This window comes from Homo sapiens, chromosome 8 (assembly GCF_000001405.40).
Source record: "Homo sapiens chromosome 8, GRCh38.p14 Primary Assembly".
In the NCBI taxonomy this organism is placed as follows: domain Eukaryota; kingdom Metazoa; phylum Chordata; class Mammalia; order Primates; family Hominidae; genus Homo; species Homo sapiens.
In genome coordinates this window covers 65,787,649-65,808,858 of record NC_000008.11, presented here as the reverse complement: position 1 = coordinate 65,808,858, position 21,210 = coordinate 65,787,649, and the positions used below count along the sequence as shown (strand labels likewise).

General features: G+C 36.3%; 1 protein-coding gene across 4 annotated transcripts in view; it reads left to right on the top strand.

Moving 5' to 3' along the window:
• PDE7A (phosphodiesterase 7A) overlaps nucleotides 1-21,210 on the top strand; it is a 127,731-nt gene that overhangs the window by 33,206 nt on the left and 73,315 nt on the right. Inside the window, exon 2 of one of the 4 annotated variants that reach the window (XM_011517540.4) lies at nucleotides 19,881-19,977. The exons of 2 other annotated variants lie outside the window; for them this stretch is intronic. In XM_011517540.4, the coding sequence (XP_011515842.1) occupies nucleotides 19,918-19,977 (60 nt within the window). In that variant the 5' untranslated portion in view covers nucleotides 19,881-19,917. Of the gene's footprint in view, nucleotides 1-19,801; nucleotides 19,978-21,210 lie in introns of those variants that run through there. One more of the 4 variants, NM_002603.4, reaches the window with a different exon arrangement.

Sequence of the window (21,210 nt, the reverse complement as noted above, 5' to 3'; positions counted from 1 at the left end):
TAGCAACAAAGAATCACCCAGTTTAAGAACTAGTGCTACCTTCCTACCTGCAAGGAATTGTATAGGTTCTTCCTAGATAAAATGGAAGGAAAAAAAGTGTCTTCTTGTGCTCACGGACAAAAATTACTATACTTTACGTTTCTTCCTCTTGAAAATATAAATTGTATTTTTCTTTATTACTCTTAGTAAGTTAATACATGTTCATCATTAAAAATCAAGGGAAAGAACATGCAAAAATAATAAGAATCATCTGTAATGTTACTACCCAGAGATAATAACATTGTGAACACATTGGTGTTTAGCTCGACAGTCCTAGTATCTGTTCATTGAAATAGATTCTTTCTCCTACTGTGTGTAATGTTTTATAATCAGTTTGTTTTTAAAAAAAAACTTATAATGTCGGTGATTTTCCATATTCTGAAATATTCTTTTATAGAAATAAATACTGGAGACTTTTTTCTAGTAAAGTCTTATTAGAAACCCAGATATATACAGTATTTTGTTGGTAAAATTCTTATTGTAGTAACTTATTCATTATTATTAACTTTATTATGGGAATAAGAAGGTAGATTTGATGAAAAGAAAACTTTGAAACAGAGTTGTATCCAGTGGTATGCTGCTAAATGTGTAGCAACTGGATCTCTGAAAGAAAAATGGTGCTTGCCAATTTCTGCTCATTTTAACTACTAGCACTGAATGTTCCTATTCCAGTCTTCTCTATACTTCAATAGAGATTAAATAGTGTACATCCTGTTACCATGGCTGATTTGAAGCTGTCAGTGCAGTATCACTGAATGGGGGTGGGGAAGACATGTACAGAACTGGCTTTCCTGAAACAGTGTGAGCAGGCTCCAGTATGACACTCGTTGTATCAGCCAGAATTTCTTTAGTGGCAAGTAACAAAAAACTTGTTCCAAATTCTTGTATACAATAAGATTTACCTAGAAGACCCAGGGTTTAGTGGCTCCAGATATGGTTAATTCAGCAGCTCAGAATCATCATCACTGACCCATGTTCTGTCTCTTTTGCTACTGATGTAATACAACATGTCAGTAGAATAAAAAAAGCCATGTGCTCATCCCAGTAGATGCAGGAAAAGCATTTAACAGAATCTAACACCATTTTATGATAAAACCATCCAGAAAACTAGGAATAGAAGGGAACTTCCTCAACCTGATAAAGGGCATCTACAAGAAACCCACAGCTAATATTGTGCTTACTGGTAAAGACTGGGTGTTTTCCCTGTAGGACCAGGAACAAGGTAAGCATGTCTGCTTGTGTTACTTGTATTCAGCATTGAACTAAAGGTTCTAGCCAAGTCAGTTAGGCAAGAAAAATAAAAAAAACATCCAGATTGGAAAGGAAAAAGTAAAACTATCTCTAGTCATAGATGATATGATTATCTACATAGAAGATACTAAGGAATCTACTAAAGAAATTTTAGCACTAATAAATGAGTTTAGCAAAGTTGCAGGATGCAAGATCAACATACAGAAATCACTTGTATTTCTGTACCCTTAAAGTGAATAACCTGAAAATGAAATGGAAACAACTCAATTTTTAATAGCATGAAAAAGCATAAAATACTTAGGAATAAATTTAACAAAGGGAGTGCAAAGTGTATTGTCTGAAAACTACAAAACAATGTTGAAAGAAATTGAAGATCTAAATAAATGGAAGAATGTCCCATGTTCATGGATTGGAAAACTTAATATTGTTAAAATGGCAGTACTCCCCAAATTGATCTACAGATTCAGTATAGTCCCTTTCAGAATCCCAGCTGATTGCTGTAGAAATTGACAAAGTGATTTGAAAAAATATATGGAATTGCAAGGGACCCAAAATAACACAAACAATCTTGAAACAAAGAACAAAGTAGGACTCACACTTCCTGATTTCAGAACTTAGTACAGAGCAATGGTAATCAAGACAGTGGGGTGCTGGCATAAGCTTAGACACATAGATCAATGGAATAGAATTGAGAGTAGAAGAATAAACTAATGTGTCTGTGGTCAGCTGATTTTTGACAAGGGTACCAAGGCCATCCAATGGGGAAAGAATAGTCTTTTCAACAAATTGTGCTAAACAACTGGACAGCCACATGGAAAAGGAATGCATTTCTGACATGTGCTCCAACTTGGATGAAGGCCAGCGCAGAGCCCAAACTTTGTGAATCAGTAACACGTGTATGGAACATTCACTTACATGCACAGAGGTGCCAAGGGACAGCCTAATTTAAGATTCATATAAACACATTTATCTGGCAACATAAGTTAATATTGTGGTAGGAGTCCCACCAAGTTAAAATTCTAAAGTGTTTGAATATGTGCATTTTTAAAGAAAGAATTTGCATACCATAAATTCACGCTTTTAAGTGTATGATTCAGTGGTTTTTAGTTTATTCACAAAGTTGTGCAACCTTTACTACTCTAATTCCAGCACTTTTTTATCACCTCAAAAATAAACTCTATACTCAATAGCACTCCCCACTCCCTCCTCCCTCAACCTGTGGCAATTAATAATCTACTTTCTGTCTCTATGAATTTACAAAGTGAATATGTACTTTTTTTTTTACTACAAATTTAAAATAGTTAAAAGTGTCCAAGAATTAAGTTATTATCATTTGGGAGATAGTTTGAAAATTTATGTTTTGCAGCATTTACTTCAAATGATTGTAAATATTTCGTACTTCTACTTTTACAGTTAGTCAACCAGTCATTCCTTATTGTTGGATATTTAGAGTGTTTACAGTTTTTCACTATTATAAACAATGCTGTAATGAAAATCTTTGTTGCTAAATCTTCATGCTTATCCATGATTGTTTTCTTAAGATTCCTAGAAGTAGTGTAACTAGTTACAGTGCTAGGTGCAGCTTTAAGTCTTTGATAAACATGGCCAAATTACCTTCCAGAAGTTTGCACCAATTTTTGCTCAAACAGTGATGTAAGAAAGACTCATATAAGTTTTAAAGTATAATAATACAGTAAGTGACTGTTCTGTGGTGGGCAGGTCTGTGCAAACCTACCCCCAAAGTTTGAGAGAGCTGAGAAGGCGGCTAACATATCCAGTTTCTCAGAAAGAAGCATTTAATAGGGACTTACGAACAGAAGCCATGCCTGTGTCTTAGGCAGCAGCAAGACACGAGGGTGAATCCACAGTACCATTATCCCTCAAACCAGGGCTTATACACCATAGGGAAGGGGTGTACGTGATTCAGAAGGAATGTGTGGGACAACTGAAAAACGATAACATGAAGGTTGTTTTGACCCAAGAGCAAGATTGATGGTAAGTCCATGCTGTTACACAGGAAATAGATAAACTGGAAATCTTAGAGGCCTTCCCAGAACAGGTTAATTAGAAGTCAACATGGTAGATTAGCAACCAAGATGGAGTTGCCTTAGCCTCTACAGCACCATATTTTATTTTCTTTATATAGGGTAATCTCTGCTGCTCAATTAAATGTTTACTTGACTACTTTTGAAAATTGTTTTCTGCTCAACACTTTAGAAACTTTTCAGTGAACATGAGTCATAATTTTAAAATCAAATGTACTTGAAGCATTACCTCAAATAAGCAAAGCTACTGTGGTACCAGTTTGTATCCCAGGTTCTAAATAAGGGGCTCTTTAAATATATATTAGTCATCACCCATAAACTGCTTGTACTATATCCAACTGATTCTTAACTGTTCATACAATGAATTAAAACTTTCAGCTTTGGCTGGGCACAGTGTTATACCTGTAATCCCAACACTTTGGGAGGCTGAGGCAGGAGGATTGCTTGAGTCCAGGAGTTCCAAATCAGCCTGGGCAATATAGGGAGAGTCCATCTCTACCAAAAATTTTTTCAAAAATTAGCTGGGCATGGTGGTACACAGGTGTGACCTCAGCTACTTGAGAGGATGAGAGACAGGAGGATCACTTGAGCCTAGGAGGTCATGGCTGCAGTGAGCCTTGATCACACTACTGTACTCCAGCTTGGGTGACAGAGCAAGATCCCATCTCAAAATAAAAGAAAACTTGGCTGGGCACGGTGGCTTATGCCTATAATCCCAGCACTGTGGGAGGCCGAGGCGGGTAGATCACTTGAGGTCAGGAGTTTGAAACCAGCCTGGCCAACATGGTGAAACCCTGTCTCTACTAAAAATAGAAAAAGCTAGCTTGGTGTGGTGGCACATGCCTGTAATCCTGGCTACTTGGGAGGCTGAGGCAGGATAATAGCTTGAATCCGGGAGGCAGAGGTTGCAGTGAGCTGATGTTGCGCCACTGCACTCCAGCTGGGCAATGGAAACACTGTCTTCAAAAAAAAAAAAAAAAAAAGCAACAAAATGAAACTTTCAGCTTTCTCAAATTACTTATTTTGGGGTTTTTAAAGCTTCTCCAGTAAATCTTGAAATAAGCAATTCTGGTGTCCAAATATGACTGAATTTCATTTTTCTCTTTATACCTATGTTTTAGAGATGTTAAAGTTGACACGACTTTCTTGGGATGGAGGGAATTCATTCTAAAATGAGGAAATAAATTGGGTAAAAGTATGACAGTGGTAATGCCCCAGCCATGTTCAGGAAATCATGAGTAACTATTTGGCTTGAATTAGGGTAGGTATAGGGTTAAAAAATGAAATATTAGAATTAAATTTGTGCCATGAGAGAGACTTTAAAAATGATATTCTGTCTTTGTAATACAAAATATCATGCTGTTGGCTAGAGAAGGATGTGTGATAAAGTGCTGGTGTATGCAGTTTGATAAGAGGGTTACATATTGTATGTTCTTTGCTGTGTCCCCTTTTAAACCTTTGTCATATAGATTTTTCTTACCATATTAGTTTGAATTATATCAGCATATTAAAAGAGATATGTTGGTATACTGAATGATGCATATTTTTTCTAGAATGTGTATGTGTGTCTGTGTGTAGGAGAGGTGCAAGGAGAGATGCATATACACACACCTTGCCTCTGCTGGTTTGTTCTCCCAATCGTATCCTCTGTCCTATGGTTCCCAACTGCTGGTGGCAAATCCCAAGAGAATTTGGGAATTGACAGGAGCTTCATGAATTCATGTATATTTCAGAAAGTAAACTTAAAAACTCTCATACATATATATAAGCATATTTCAAATATAAATACTGTTGTGATGAATTAAATCCATTTAAACATAAATTCACAATAATGTTATGCTATTTTGTACTTTTCTCAGTGGATACCAGAAGAAAAAGGCCTATCTTGTGGGTGTGTGCAAACTATTTTGCCATTAAAAGGGGTTTGTCATTCTTCAAAAGATTAAACACCACCTATTCCAGCCATGTCTTGTCTCCTGAAAGTAAATTTGTGATTTAGACTGTCAAACACTTGGGAAAATTTCTGACTGGTTTAACATTGTTAAATGCACACCTGATTACTGATGCAGCTGACTGAAAATTGACTATTACGTTGAGTACCAAGAGTGCTGGCTAGCCAGAACTTGAAAAGGGGAGCACTATGGTCAAACTTTTACTTGATAATGAATCTTCAGTTTATTTCTTTTTAAAGTACCATGTCTGTCTGTTGCTGTAACTTAGAGAAGCTGGCCATTTAAATGGGAGCAATGGGAACAAGGTTGAGTAATGTCTGCTCTGTAGAGAGGCAGAAATCATTTTAAAGAATTGAATCAAGTCATCGATATGCCTGAATATATTATCAGAGCACTGTGTATTAGGCTGTTCTTGCTTTGCTACAAAGAAATACCTGAGTCTGAGTAATTTATAAAGAAAAGAGGTGTACTTGGCTCACGGTTCAGCAAGCTTTATAGGAAGCATGGTGCTGGCATCTGTTTGGCTTCTGGTGAAGCCTCAGGGAGCTTTCAATCATGGCAGAAGGCAAAGCAGGAACAGGCACATTATGTGGCAAAAGCAGGAGCAAGTGAGAGTGTGGGGAGGGGGAGGTGCCACACACTTTTAAAACGACCAGATGAGTGAACCCAGAATGCTCACTTATCAACAAGGGGATGGCCCGGACCCTTTCATCAGGGATCCACCCCCATGATCCAAACACCTCCCACCAGGCTGCACTTCCAACATTGGGGATTCCATTTCAACATGAGATTGGGCAGGGACAAATATCCGAACTATATCATACTAGTTAAAGAGAGATGATTTTTCAGGTTTGCAAGTTTTAATTGATGACTTTATTTGGACTTGCGAGAGAATTGGATAAAAACAACTTGGTTATCTTCCTGGATTATTTTTATGAATACCATCAGTATCTATTTTAATCCTTGTAACAACTGTCCAAGTACCTTCCCATTATCCTGGTGGAGAAAACTGAGGTTTAGAATATAACTTGTATGAAGACTCCGTAGTTAGGAAGAGTAAACACTGGATTTGAATCAGTGATCAGATGACCCAAAGCCAGTGCTCCCCTGGTCCAATTTTAAGAGCATATTTGTTTGCATGAATTTCAGACTAGAGAGAATTCCTAACTTTAATGAATTAACATGAAAATACTTTTTTCTTTTGCATTTTTTTATTGTGGTAAAATATGCCTAACATAAAACTTGCCATTTTAATGATTTTGAAGTGCAGAACTTTGGTAGCATTAAGTACATTCACAGTGTTGTGCAGTGATCACCATTATCTGTTTTCTGAACTTTTTCATCATCCCAAACAGAAATTCTGTACCCCTTAAACAATAACTTGCTATTCCCTGCTCTCCCCAGCCTCTGGCAACCTCTATTCTACTTTCTGTGTTTGTGAACAAAGTATTTTCTTAATGAGAAAGTTTTGTTGATGTTAGATCATGTGGCTTAACTTTTAAATTTCTTTGTAGAGTGTTGATCATAAATGAATTTCTTTCGAACAAGAAGTACCATGTACTTCAATGCAAATTAAGTTATTTTTGACTTCTTAATTTTTTGTCTCTTCTATTTTAAACAAAGTGTTATAATTACATATGCTAAATACAGAAGGCTTCATGTCCTCTTACTTTATTAAATGTAAACAAATGGTGTTAAGAGAAAATAGTTTTTTCCTGAACCTTACTAAACTGCTTTTTATACACTGTTCTAGTTAGAGTTCCTTAAGTTACATTGCTGTTAGTCTTAATTGCCTTTGCAATTAAGCTCATCAAAATGGGTAACAAATCCAAGAGATCTTTTTGCCAGCCTGCATAAATTTGTATCATGTTCTCCTAGCTGATGGTTATCAAATTGCACATAATTTGACTCAAGCTATTACTTCTATTTATTTATTTACTTATTTTTGATTCAAGCTGTTTTTTTTTTAAATGAGTGTAGAATATAATGATTATTGCTCATTGTATTCCGTTAGTAAGAGTTACTGGGGGGTGCTCTATACTTTGGTCAGGTCCTTGGCTTTGTCAGTTTTTGTTCCATTGACCCATGAGGTTGTGAAAATCCTAAAACTCAGGTTCACCCACTTTAATTTGACCTTGAGTTGAAAGCCAGCTTCATTACTTTACTTGTTGCATTCCTTCTTTTACTGTTTTTGTCAGAATAATTATTTTCTTAACTGCTCATGGATTCATTTCAGAATATATTTTCAATATCTTCCAGCATTTTTAGTTGTTTTCAGTGGTAGAGTTGTGTTTCTAAACTAGTCCATTGTTGGAAATGGAAGTATTCTTAGAGACTTTGCTAAATAGTTTCATTCACTCCACCCAGTTAACAGTAATAATAGGAACACAGATTTTGTTTTGGTGTGTTTTTTGTTTTTATTTTTTGTCGCCTTTGGGGGTCTCACTGTGTTGCCCAGGCTGGATTGGAGTCACTAGTCAAAGTTGTGATCATAGGCCTGAATTTCTGCCTCAACCTCCTGAGTTGATGGGACAAAAGGGGTGCACGACTCTATCTGATTCTGCCACTGTGTATTTTTGACTACTAAGTCAGTGTCTGTTCGTGTCTGTTTTAGACTCGAATGAAAGAATTTTTGATGTTAGCTGCAATAGCTTGCTTTCATCTTCTGAAGGCACTAAAGGAGCAGATGAGGGGATGGAGAGGGTTTGAACCTAATGTTCTTTTTCTAGCCTAGCACTGGACGAAACTTTAAGCCCTAAAAGGAGTTTCTGTTTGATGTTCGTTGAGCAAGGGCCTTCTTGTCACTTTATTTTTATATTGTATTCAAAGTGGCGTCTTTCTGGTTTTAACCTTACTGAGGTGTGAGAGGGAGAGGAATGTTACTGGTATGTATGTGTGTGAGAGAGAATGTTATAGAACCAAACTAGGGCCTACTCACCTGGCACAGTAAAACCAAATACCCACACAGAGGAACACAGCAATAGGTGTTTACTGCAGAGTGCTAAGCAGGGAGGACAGGCAGCTAAATGCTCAAATCCTGGCCTCCCCAGTGACTTGCAGGCAAGGATTTTTAAACACAGGGGTGAGTTTCAGGAAAGCAGAAGCTACAGGCAAAATCATACTTCAATACAGGGAGATTACACATTGGTTTAAGTTTAAAAGGTTGAGATATCTTGAAGCAGGGGCTTACATGTTGCAGGTAGATTCAAAGATCTTCAGATTTGCCATTAGTTAAGGAAGAGCAGCTTTGTTTAAAAATTTAGGGTCAGTAGAAAAATGTTAACTGGCTAGGGGGTGTGACTTTCTCCAAGCACTGCAGGAAGAAACTTAGAACAAAAAGCAGTTATAAAGTTTAGTTTTCACTGTCTCCTTATCTGGACTCCAGGTGCCAGTGGATCTGTTAGGTGGGGGGTCCGAGCCTCTGAAAGACAATTCAGGGACATATGTTCAGATGTTATTTTTAGTTTCTATAAGGAAAGCAAACATCTCTGGAGCTTTAACTTCTTTGGCTGTTGTTTTAGGCTACTATTACCTTCTTGTTCTAGTTAGTAGTTACCTCTGGGGCTAGCTAGATGCCTGGAATTTCCCTTGAAGGAACTTAAGGATTTTCCTTTGTGAGTCCCTAAAAAAGGGAGTCCCTGCTCTGTCTCAAAAAACAGCTATCTTCAGGGGCTGCTATTTAGTTTGAATAGTTACCAATTGTGAGTTTTGGCCTTTGGCCCTCCCAGTCCTTTTCTGTCTGTGAGCCTAAAGGTTTTGATTTTAGCTGTCTTCACTTCTCTCCTTGGGTAATCCTACTTAGCAGTCTTGATTGGCAGAGGATTACTCCAGGTCCCTCTCTCCAGCCCAGCTCTCTTTCCAGGCCGTGAGACCCATGCCCAGCCATGAGTGAATATTTCCACTCAGTTGTCCTTAGTATCCAGACACTTAACCTCTCCTAACATTAAAGCAAATCAACCTCTTAAATCCCGTCACATTTCTCTATTCTCCTGTTTACTACCCTAGTCTAGACCATCTTCTCTTCTGGATTAAGGCAATAGCTTTCTTACAGATCTCCCTGAAGAGTGAAGTCTTCCGCTGTGTTAATCCATTCCACTCTGGGACCTAGAGTATTTTTTCCAAAATGTGTATTAGTCTCCTGGATGAAACCTCTCAGTGACTTCCTTTTGTCTTTGCATGCAATTCAGACTCCCTATTATGGTTGACAGTTTTGATTACTCCTGTGGTCTCAACCCTCTTGTTGCTCCCAATTTAACTTTAAATTCTATTAGTAATTATGCTAAATTTCCTCTGGGGGTTGGGGGTGGGGTGGATTTTGCTCCTCTTTCTGAAATTCAGTTTTTTGAGGGATAATTGACATACAGTTTGATTAATTTTAACAAGCAGGTACACTCATGCAACTAGTACTCCAATCAAGATATTGTACTCTTTAGTCACTCCAAAAAGTTCTTTTGGGGCCCTTTGCCATAGGTTCCCCCCAGCCCCTGCCCCAGACAACCACTGATCTGACTTCTATCACTATTGATTAGTTTTGCCTGTTAGAACTTCATATAAATGGAATCATAGAGTATACTTTCTCTTTCCCTGGCTTCTTTCACTTAGCTCAGTGTTTCTGATATTTATTTATTTCATTGCATGTATTAGTAGTTTGCCCTATCTTATTGCTGAGTAGTATTCTGTTGTATGGATATGCCACAATTTATCCATTCATCAGTTGATGAATGCTTATGTTGTTACCAGCTTTGACTTTTAGGAATAAAACTGGTATGAATATTTGTGTTCAAGTTATTTTTCATATATACATTTTAATTAGCATGAGCGTTCTAATTGCTCCACATCCTTGATAACACGAGATATTGTCAGTTTTCAATTTTAGCCATTCTTGTGGTTAATAGTATCTTGTAGTTACATTGGTTTGCATTTATCTGATGATTAAACATGTTGAGCATCCATATGCATATTGGCTATTCGTATATCTTCTATTGTGACTCGTCTGTTTAAATCTTTAGCTTGTATTTTTAAATTGGGTTGTCTTATTAAGTTATGAGTTTTTAAATATGGCCAGGCAACAAGGTGGCTCACACCTGTAATCCCAGCACTTTGGAAGGCCGAGGCGGGTGGATCACCTGAACTCAGGAGTTCGAGACCAGCCTGGCCAACATGGTGAAACCCCATCTCTAGTAAAAATACAAAAATTAGCTGGGGATGGTGGTGCATGTCTTTAGTCCTAGCTACTTGGGAGGCTGAGGCAGGAGAATTGCTTGAACCCGAGAGGTAGAGGTTGCAGTGAGCCAAGATTACGCCACTGCACTGCACTCCAGCAGCCTGGGTGACAGAGCGAGACTCCATCTCAAAAAAAAAAAAATATATATATATATATATATATATATATGCACACACACACACATGTATATATTTCTGGATACTAATTCTTTTATTCTGCCTTTTTTTGGTACAAGTTCTTTATCAGACTTACATACTACAGATAATTTTCTCTGAGTCTGTGCCTTTTTATATCTTAACACTGTGTTTTGAAGAACAGAGGTTTTTAGTTTTAGTGAAGTCCAATTAACACATTTTTTTTTTCCTTTTGTGATTGGTGTTCTTGTGTCTAGAAATCTTTACTTAACCCTAGATTATGGATATATTCTCATACATTTTCTTAGAAATTTTATTATTTTAGTCTTTATGTTTAAATATATAATTCATTTTTAATTTTTTTGTATGGCATGAGATTGTTAGACTCATTTTAAAATTTATTTTATTCATTTAAAAAATATTTATATAGTTTTTCCAGTGTCATGTATTGAAAAGACTATACTTTCCCCTGAATTACTTTGGTACCTTTGTTGGGCATCAAATTTCTAAAAAAAAGTCTGCTGGGATTTTGAGACTGCATTGAATTTATGGAACAATTAAGGGAAAATTGACAGTATTGAGTCTTCCAGTCCGTAAACATATGTATTAGTAACTAGGGCTGTTAAAACAAAGTATCAAAACCTCGGTGGCTTAAAACAACAGAAATTATCTGTCTCACACTTCTGGAGGCTGGAAGTCTGAAATCAAGTTGTCAGCCAAGGCCTTGCCCCCCGGAGGCAGTTGCCTCTTCTAGCTTCTTTTTAGTGGTTGATAGCAATCCTTGGTGTTCTTTGGCTTATAAATAAATCACTACAATCTCTGCCTCTATCTTCACATGGGCTTCTCCCCTGTGCATTTGTGTGGTCTGTCCAAATTTCCCTGTTCTTAGAGGGACACTAGTCATTGGATTTAGAGCCCACACTAACCCAGTATGCCCTCATCTTAACTTGATTACATTTGCAAAAACCTGTTTCCAAATGAGGTCACATTTACAGGCACCTGGGGGTTAGGACTTTGACATATCTTTTGGGGGGACACAATTCAACCCCATACTATGTTTTGTAGTTTTCATTGTATGGATCATGCATATATCCTATTGATTTTATCCATAAGTATTTTATGTTTATGGTTATGATTGCAAATGGTATTTTTAAAATTTCATTTTCCAATCATTTTTTACTAATATATAGAAATACAGTTGATTTTTTTAATATCAAACTTGTGTCTATTGACCGTACTAATTTTTATTAGTTCCAGTAGCTCTTTTGTAGGGTCTTTAGGATTTTCTACATGGACAGTCATGTTGTCTGCACAAAAGACAGTTTTTTCTTTGTTTCTAATTTATATGCCTTATGCTTTTTCTTTTTGTGGCCTTAATGTATTTATTGGCTTTGACTTTCAGTACCATGTTGAAGTGGTAGAGCAACTTTGCTTGTGATCTTAGGGCAAAAATATTTAGTCTTATTGTTAAGTACAATGATGGCTATGGATTTTTTTAATAGATGTCCTTTATATGGTGAAGAAGTTTTCTTTTATTCTTAGTTTATTAAGATTGTTTATCATAATGACTATTGAATTTTGTCAAATGCATTTTTCTTACCAATTGAACTGATTGTATGATTTTTCTTAATTCTGTTAATGTTGAATTACATTTATTGTTTTTTGAATGCTAAATCAGCTTTAGATTCCTAGGATAATTGCCACTTCTCATAATGTATTTCCTTTTTATATGCTAATGGATTTGATTTACTAATGTTTTCTAAATGATTGTTTTATCTGTGTTTATAGGGGATATTAGTCTATGGTTTTATTTTCTTGTAATGTCATTGTCTGCTTTTGGATTTTCAGCATTTGATTGCTATGTATCTAGGTATAGTTTTCTTTGTGTTTTTTTATGTTTGGAGTTCGTTTAACCTGCTTTGACATATGGATTGATAGTTGTTATCAGATGAGAAAAATATTTCATCATTATTGCTTCAAGTATGTTTGCTATCTTTTACATTCCTTTTTGGAGTCTAATTACTCCACTGCTTGATGTTGTCCCGCAGGCTCACAGGTTCAGATTCATGTTTTTTTTTTTAGTTTTTATTTATTTATTTATTTATTTTTTGGCTTTTGTTTCTCTGTGTGCATCAGGTTAGGTAATTTCTATTGATCTTTTCTTATATTGTGTTTTGTTTGCTATTAAGCCCAACTGTGAATTTCTTAGCATAGATACTGTATTTTTCAGCTATAGATGATCCATTTTTTTAGTTTCTTTTTTTTCATTGTGTACATGTTTTCCTTTAAATCTTTGTACATATTTACAATAACATTTAAGAAGTCTTTGTCTACCAATTCTATTATCTTAATCATTTTTGGGTTTGTTTTTATTGAACACTCCCCTCCACCCCAGTTTTGAGGTGACTTTTTTATTTTCCCTACTAATTTGTAATTTTTGATTTGTCATCTTTTAAAGAATGTTAAATTCTGTTCTGGTAGGCAGTTTAGTGACTTGCAGATCCACCTGATCCCTTTACGCTTATTGTAAGTTTTGTTAGTGTTTCTGATAGGGCTTTCTACGCTGATGGACTAGTACCTCCTAACGGTATGGCATTTCTGGAATCTCTATGGAATGTCCCAGGTATTCCCTGAGGTCTCTTCTCTGTGGTTGGTTGGAACTCTGAACTCTCCTGTAGTTGTTCTTTCCCTGGTAGTTATTATTTTTCTGGCCTCATGGAGTCTAATCCTACACATACTCAGCTTAGTATTCAGCCAAAGATTCAAGGGGATCCACCATCAGACTTCTGGAGCTCCTTGTCCTCACAGCTCCCTCCTCTCTGGCATTCAGCCCTGCAAATTCCAGGTACCTCAGCCTCCCTGAGCTGCAGTCTCTGTGTCCTTAGCTTTGTGAGACCGCTGTGCTCTGCAGGATTGTGCCTTGCTTTCAGGTTTGGCGACTGCCTATAGGAAGGAGCCTGGGCAATGTTAGGGCTTACCTTGGTTTTTTCCATTCTCTCAAGGATCAAAGTCCTGCAGTACTTGCTGTCTAACATCTGAAAACAATGTTTCATGTATCTCATATTGAAAGCTTAACTTTTTAGTTGTTTATATAATGGGAGAGCTAGTCCAGTACCAGTTACCTTATAATTTATTGAATCTTGTTTATGTTTTTTGCTGGCGAAGATTTAGCTCACCTCTGATAATTTGTACATATTGCTCTTTCTGCCTGGGGCTCTTTTCCCCACTGCCTGTACCTGACAAGCTCTTATTCATCATTTTTAAGGATGAGATTACATTGTCGCATTTTTCCTGGTAGTCTTCTTTGATGTTAACAAATCCTGGGTTAATTGTCATACTTGGTACTTATAGCACTCTGGATTTACATGTAATTGTAATTACTTGTTGTTATGCTGATTGTTTGTAGCCCCCACAAAAACTTAAGCTGTGTAAAGGCAAGGACTGTGTCTCATTCACATTATTTCCCTTGTGCCTAACACAGTGAAGATCTCAATCTCTGTGTGTGTGTCTCTCTCTTTTGCAATGTTATATGTGGAGATGAAATAGTACTATTCAATTCAAAGTGCCTCAAGTATACTTCAGAAAATTTTTGGACTTCTACACTGGTTTGGAGAGACAGGCAATTATGGACAGTTACCATTCTTATTCAGAAGTCTTCTTTTAAAATTTATCCTATTTCTGCCAAGATTGGTGTTTTTCTCCTTAATGTCTATGTTATAATTTATATTTGCCTACAAGTATTGGTCTGTTTATAATACTACTTATAGGTGAAGTTTTTTTTTTTTCCCTCACCTACAAATCGGTCTCATTAAAAAAAGTATCTTTCAAGATAAACACTGTAACCACTTAGTTGCCATAGTAGTTTTGAGGAAGTTCATGTGGCTTGGTCTTGTGGGGTGTGGTGGTGGGTGCACTGTCCCATTGAGGAGCCTTTGATAACAGTAGCTTTCTTAGAAAGACTTCTTTCATTATTAAATTGAAGAAGGTGCATTCATGCCATGCTAATCTTATTTATCTTTTGTGTATGGAAAAAGAATGTTTCCATTTTTCATTTCACAGAGTTGTGAGTGATAGCATTTTCAGATTACTAGTACAAAAATTTGTCATGATTTGGTTCAAGTTTGCCATCAGTTTAAAGTTTAAAATTAAAATTGTTAGCCTATAAGCACTTATGAGCTGTCAGTTACATTACTGTAGAGCCTTAGAATTGGCAGAGACCTTGAAAGTCATTTGTTCTAGCCTACCCGAAAAGCCCCTGAACAGAGGCTAGTTTGAGGCAGATCCTTACATGATTTTAATTGTAGAAAGTTGTAAGAAGCTGTAGAAAGTTCTTAGGAAATAAGAGTCAAATTCTGTTTTTAACAAACTTGTGCTCCTGGTCCTACTTCTGCCTTATGTAATTTCCCAAAATAAAGGTAGACTTCTTCTTAGGTTATTTTATGTTACAGCAGTTTAACACCTATTCTGTCTTTCTTTTTGTTTCTTTGCCTAAAGCTTCAGTTTTAAAACTATTCCTTATATTGTATCCCTGTCGACATTAAAATATGCATGTAATCATGCATCATCTGCAGTGGTATTCAGAACTGAATTCATTCTTATGTGGCCCGTATTGAAGATAGTGGAGCATCCTTGATTTGGAAACGTACCTGATCTCATTGCCTCCTAAGATTGTCTTCACTTATTATCTCTCATTTAGAATTTAACCATATTTGCCTTTTTTTTTTTTTTTAGGAAACTTTAAAAACTTATTTTCATTGTTTTATAGGTATGCAATTTATTGTATATCAAAATGCAGACAATTTTTTTTAAATTTTTGAAATTCAGCATACTGACATACCTTTAATTTTTTTAATTTTGTAATTCAGCATGCTGATATACCTATTGTGTTTTATATGCAGATTTGCTATATGTTTTTCTGATCTACATGCCAGTAAATAAACTGTGGAACAAGACAAGATCTAATGAAGAGTCTTGTTGGCTACTTCTAGAATTCTTCCACTAGTTTGAAGAATTGGGTGGGAAAGTATTTCCGCCCAAATACTTTATCTCTGGGTGTGTTTGTTCAACTAGGAGTGTGCCTAATTGTAGCATGGGGCTCTGTTTGGTTCTTAAGAATGTCACCAGAGACTTTCTAAGTGCTTTTAGTATCATAAGGTGATGTTTTCTGGACCTGAAGACTTGAATTGTTGGTAAAGTGTCAAGATTTTTTTTTTTACTTCTTTATACTAGGAGAAATCACATGACATTTTCATCAAATATTCGGATACTACATGACAAAAAATTCAGAGCTCTAAGTCAGTATTACAGAAAGGTCTTAATTGAATGGCAAAACTCTCATAGTACCATAGCTTTTAAATAATTTTTTGTTATGGAAGCTTTTTTCTTAGTTTCATGTCACTTAAAATTCATACCATTTGAAGAATAATAAGCCTTGGTTTTTAGTAAAAGAAATAAACCAAAACCTTACTCTGATTTATTACTTGTTATTAAAGTGGGCTGGAATTCAAAACAATGAGAGCACAGTTGGAGGGTTTTTACTATAGTGTTCACATTTTTTCTGTCGCAAATTTGGTTATAGTTTTCTACAGACACTACATTTGTATAAAGAACTCTGTGATAGACTATTTCTGTCCATGGGATTCCAAAATTATAGACACTGATGTCAATGCAGATGAGGTTAGCCTAATTTGGGCAAGAGAGGGACATGCCGAGTCTCTGTATGGATAGCTAAAGGCTATTGCCAAGATTGACAGGTGTCCTGTGAGTGGCAGAGAGCCCCAGGGATAAAATTTTCTCTTGGATTACTTCTCTAAGAAACAATGAACAAAGTCATATTTTTTTCCTATTGATCACACTCATAAAATAGTGAGGTCTGCTTTTAACTCAGCTTTTCTGATATTAGCCTTATAAACCCCAGAAAGGTAAAAAGTTTTATACTTTCTTCTTATAGTATCAAATTCTGTTTTTGAAAATTTTAAGTGTATCCTATGCATTAATTTTTCTAGAATAGTCACCTGATTTATTACTTTGCCATGTTTCACTAAGGATATGAGACAACTACGAAAACAGTTAATGTAAAAGAATACATTTGTTGTTAGTGTAAAAGAGGTAACTTTATAGAATAATAAACTACATGATCCAACTCTGGAAAAATAAACTTTTAGGAGAATTATCTAAGTTATAAGCATAATATTTATGGTAAAAGAGATTTTATAGTAATTTGAAACAGCATTTGTTTTTATTTCATCTTATTGAAATTTTATTATTATTAAAATTTAATTATAAATCACCAAGATAAGTAGTACTAAGTGTATCTCAAAATAAGAAAAAGTCTTACAGCCATTAGGTTTATGACATTGAGAAAGTTGAGATTACTACTTTAAGAAAAACTGTGTTGCCTGAGATTTTTGTAAGATTTGAGTGATGTAAATGTGTCATTAGCAATGAAAGCTTTACGACTTCAGGCATAAACTCAGTAGCTGTTTCTGTTCTAATAGGAAATTTTCTGATCTGGGGGAGAATTGTGTCTTGATTATCTCTGTATTACCGTGTCAGACATTAGTGGAAATTAGGAAGTGGATGCTGGGGGAAGCATTTTAGGGAGCCAACCTATTAACTAGCGTGAGAAATGAAAGCCAAGAGCCTAATCCTGCTGAGAATCGGAGGTTTCTCAGGGCACTTGCAAACACAGTGCAAGTTCCCTTCATGGACCATTGTGATTGCAGTTAGGTCTAGAGTTAAGGTGAAGCTGGAGTGTTTAGGGCATTCTCATTTCTAGGTTTTAAATACAGTAGAATTTAATTCTGATTTAGCAAAAATTTGTTGAGAGTCCACTACGAGCTAGCTGTTCGTTTATAGATACCACTTACCTCCCATGAAGGGGAGAAAAATTAAGGCACAGAGAAGTGGTGATTTGCCCATGGCAGTAAAGCTGGGAAATAAATCTAGGCTCTGAACTTCAAGCACAGTAGAGTTTTGAGATGGTAGAAATAATCTAGATAGAAATTCATTTCAGTGAGACAACTTTTAGAACTGCCTTTCTTACTTCCTCTTTTTAAATCTTCATCTCAATTATGATTTTTCAAGTATTGTACCAAAAATAGCCATCTTGTATTCGCTTTCCAAAACTTGACTCTTTTTGAGCAGTTGATTGGAAGAGAAATGTGAAGGTGGGAAGGGTAGCATCCCTGGGCCAAGCATCGAGGTTATAGGCTGGTTTGGAGTGTATAGCCCAGGCCAGAGTGGCAGAGAATGACCTCGAAGCCAGGGGCCCAGGCTGCACAGCCTCTTACAGATGACCGCCAGTGTTTCCCTGGAGCATTGGCCTAAGATACACTCTGCTGCTCTGTCTCATGCCTAGGCATCCTTCAAGTTTAGTTGCTAGAACCTTACTGGAAGACAGAGTAATCAGAGACCTTGACGGTCTCATATTAAAGCTAGTCTCATGGCAAAAATTAAAATGTTATCTGGATTTATGCAAAGATGAGTATTATAACTTGTTAGTTCTGTAGCAAGAAGTGAAAATTTTATGGCCATGTGTTAAGAATGGTTTCAGGTTAGGAAAATTTGGATTTACACCTATAAATTTAATTTGCACTTCATTTTGACAAGCCTAGAACTGACTTCTCTTTTAAATAAGCTCTTTGTACTGAGGATTAGATAATGAAAATAATATTATTATTTGAACTATTTTGGTTCTTTTCAAATATTTTAGGATCATCATTTGTGTACATTGATAATCAGATGACGTTGTCTTGTCATGGACTGCAGTCACCTCCTGAGTGTTCTTCAGTCAGCCCATGCCATCTTCACCTTTCTCTGGGACCTCTGCAGTGGTGGCCTGACTGCCCATCCAGCCCCTACCCCACCTCCCTATACTTGACCAAAGTGGTCTTTTTAAAAAGCAAAATCTACTACAGTACTTCAGTAGATTGAAATTCAGACAAGACACCCCCACATGGCCCTCGTAGGGCCTGGCCTCTGCTCCCCAGGGCTGCAGCGTCATCTGGCTCCTCCTCCCTGCCCTTGAGCCGCCCTGGTCTTTCTGTCTCTCAGACTTGCTTGGCTTGGTTTTGTCTCACCCTTTGGCCCTCACGCCTGTTCTTCGTCTGCACAATCTGTCTTCTGTCTTCACAATTCTTGCACCATCACACTTTATCTCAGGGTCATTTCAGAGATTCTGGAAGAAGTCCTTCACCTCTTAACTAGGTCAGATTCAGGTTTGTTGGCGTTTCCTACGTCTGCTTCATCGCATTTGTTACAGTTGCAATTTTGTGTTTATTTACATAATTTGATTAATGTACACTCCAACTAAATTGCAAGCACCACAAGGGCAGGAACCTTGTCTGCTTTTACTTGATGCTTATATCCCTGCCATCTGGTGCAGAGCCTGGTACATATTAGCAGCTTAATAAATATTTGCTGAATACTTGAATGAAAGTTTCACAAAAGGCATTTTCTCAGCAGTATTATCTGCAGCCTCTCGGTTATGAAGATGGATGAATAGAAGCATACTTTGTTATTAGAAAGCTCACTTACAGCCGCGAGAACAAGATCTGTACCAAAAATATAAGTTAGATTGCAGTTAGTGCTTGAAAATAATATGTCCTTAATTATTTGAAAATGCACTATTAGACTGGCTTTTTTTCAGTAAGTCCAAAATGAGTGAATTATAATGTTAAGAAGCATAGATAATATGACAGCCTCTAATATTCATAAAGTAGTTCTATCCCTAAAAGAAATAAAAAGTTGAACAAATTTCAATTAAAAATTGAAAAGATGGAATAAAATGCATTAATATTTTAAAATGTCACAGGACACTGTGCTTGTGAAACAGTTCTATGTGAAAAGAATGAAGAAATTTTTAGTACTGCCACACATTTTTTGAAAGTTGTTTTAAGGCACTCTGTTAGTACTAAGATTGTAGAAGTGTTTGGGGCTGGCCTGAGGCCTCCTTTGCCTACATTTTGTTAGACTGTTAGGTCAGCGCTCACTAAAGTCTTTTCCCTCCCCTCTTCCAACATTACTTAGGCAGTTCTACCCCAACCCTGCGGTTGTGGCATGAAGCATGCGCTGGGTAAGAAGGCTGGCTGGGTAGTGCATTCCCAGAGGAGTCAGGTGATCACTGTTGGAAGGCAGCTGCTTGAGGTCCAAGGCAGTCAGTGTCCCCTCTCTTTTGCCTCGGGACAGCTGGTATTTATCAGACTCCTAAGAAGTTTTCCTTGCTCCCTAGTAGAAGAGAGAGATTATGCAGCGGGCTTTTGATTGATCCAATGGGAATTACATTGATCTGGTGTCTGGCCTTGGTTCTTATCAAGTGGATCACCTCTAAGGTAGGCCATCTTTATTTTTAGGATGGTGACATTCATCATTAGTTTACATATTTGATAGGAATTAAATAGCTCGATTTTCTCCTCCTTTTGCCTCAGTTTTTATTCTCTGATTAAAAGAGCTGTGAGTTTCATCTGTCGACCAAAGGGCTTAAATTTACTATTTGTAGTTTTTGTTCTTATCCCACATTATTTCTTCTTAAGGGCTTTTTATAATATCTTTCCTCAGTATCAAAGCAGCATTCCTCAGTATCACTGCCTTAAAGAAGTTTTTATGACTAAAGAAGTTTAACTTTTAAGATTATAAAATTAAGTTATACTTTTGGTGTATATATTTTAAACATTCTCTCGGAGAAAATGTAATAACACTTGTGTATTTAAAGTATAATGTTGAGGATTTCTAAACAATTATAAACTTTTTAAAAACGAAAAACCACCGTCTATCATGTTTTCTCCTAAGGTCTTGCTACTGCTAAAATACGTGCCTTAGCTATAATATAATGACATAAATGTAGGATTACATATATGTTGTTTTTGAAGTTGAATTCTAAATGTCAGGCTTGAGAAATTCTTGATAGAATGCTAGCTAGCCATTTGCCATCTGGAGAAGGGTCTAAAACTAAAGTAAAACATATTTAAAATTATACTCTTTGAAATTATTTTTTTCTATTCTTCTATAAAAATGATTATATCTTTCATCCACCACACAGCTTTTTTTCTTTCTAGATTGAGAAACTGAATTTTTAAGGCTATCACTTAGAAACAAAGCTTCTATAAAGTTAATTTTCTTTCTCAAGCAAGATTTTAATACCTGCTATGTAATTTTCCACGTTTAAACATAATGTTTTAAGCATAATTATCTCTTGGTCTTCTTTTCTTAGTGAATATGATTGAAGAAATCTCTTAAAGAAAAATAATGTATTTAAATTTTAAAATCTTTGTGTTTTAAAAGTTAAGAATTAATTTTGTTGCAGTGACAGCTATTTTCTTGTTTTTAAAGGATTGGCTTGCCAAGTTATTGAATGAAGGTCAAGTTAATGTTAATAATGCATTAGTTGTCTTGTGGGTGTTTTCAGAGACTTTACTTTTTTTTTTTCCCCCCCCTGTAGAGATGAGGTCTTACTATGTTGCCCAGGCTGGTCTCAAACTCCTGGGCTCAAGCAATCCTCCTACCTCAACTTTCCAAAGAACTGAGATGTGAGACAATGCACCTGGCCTCTAGACTTTACTCTTTTA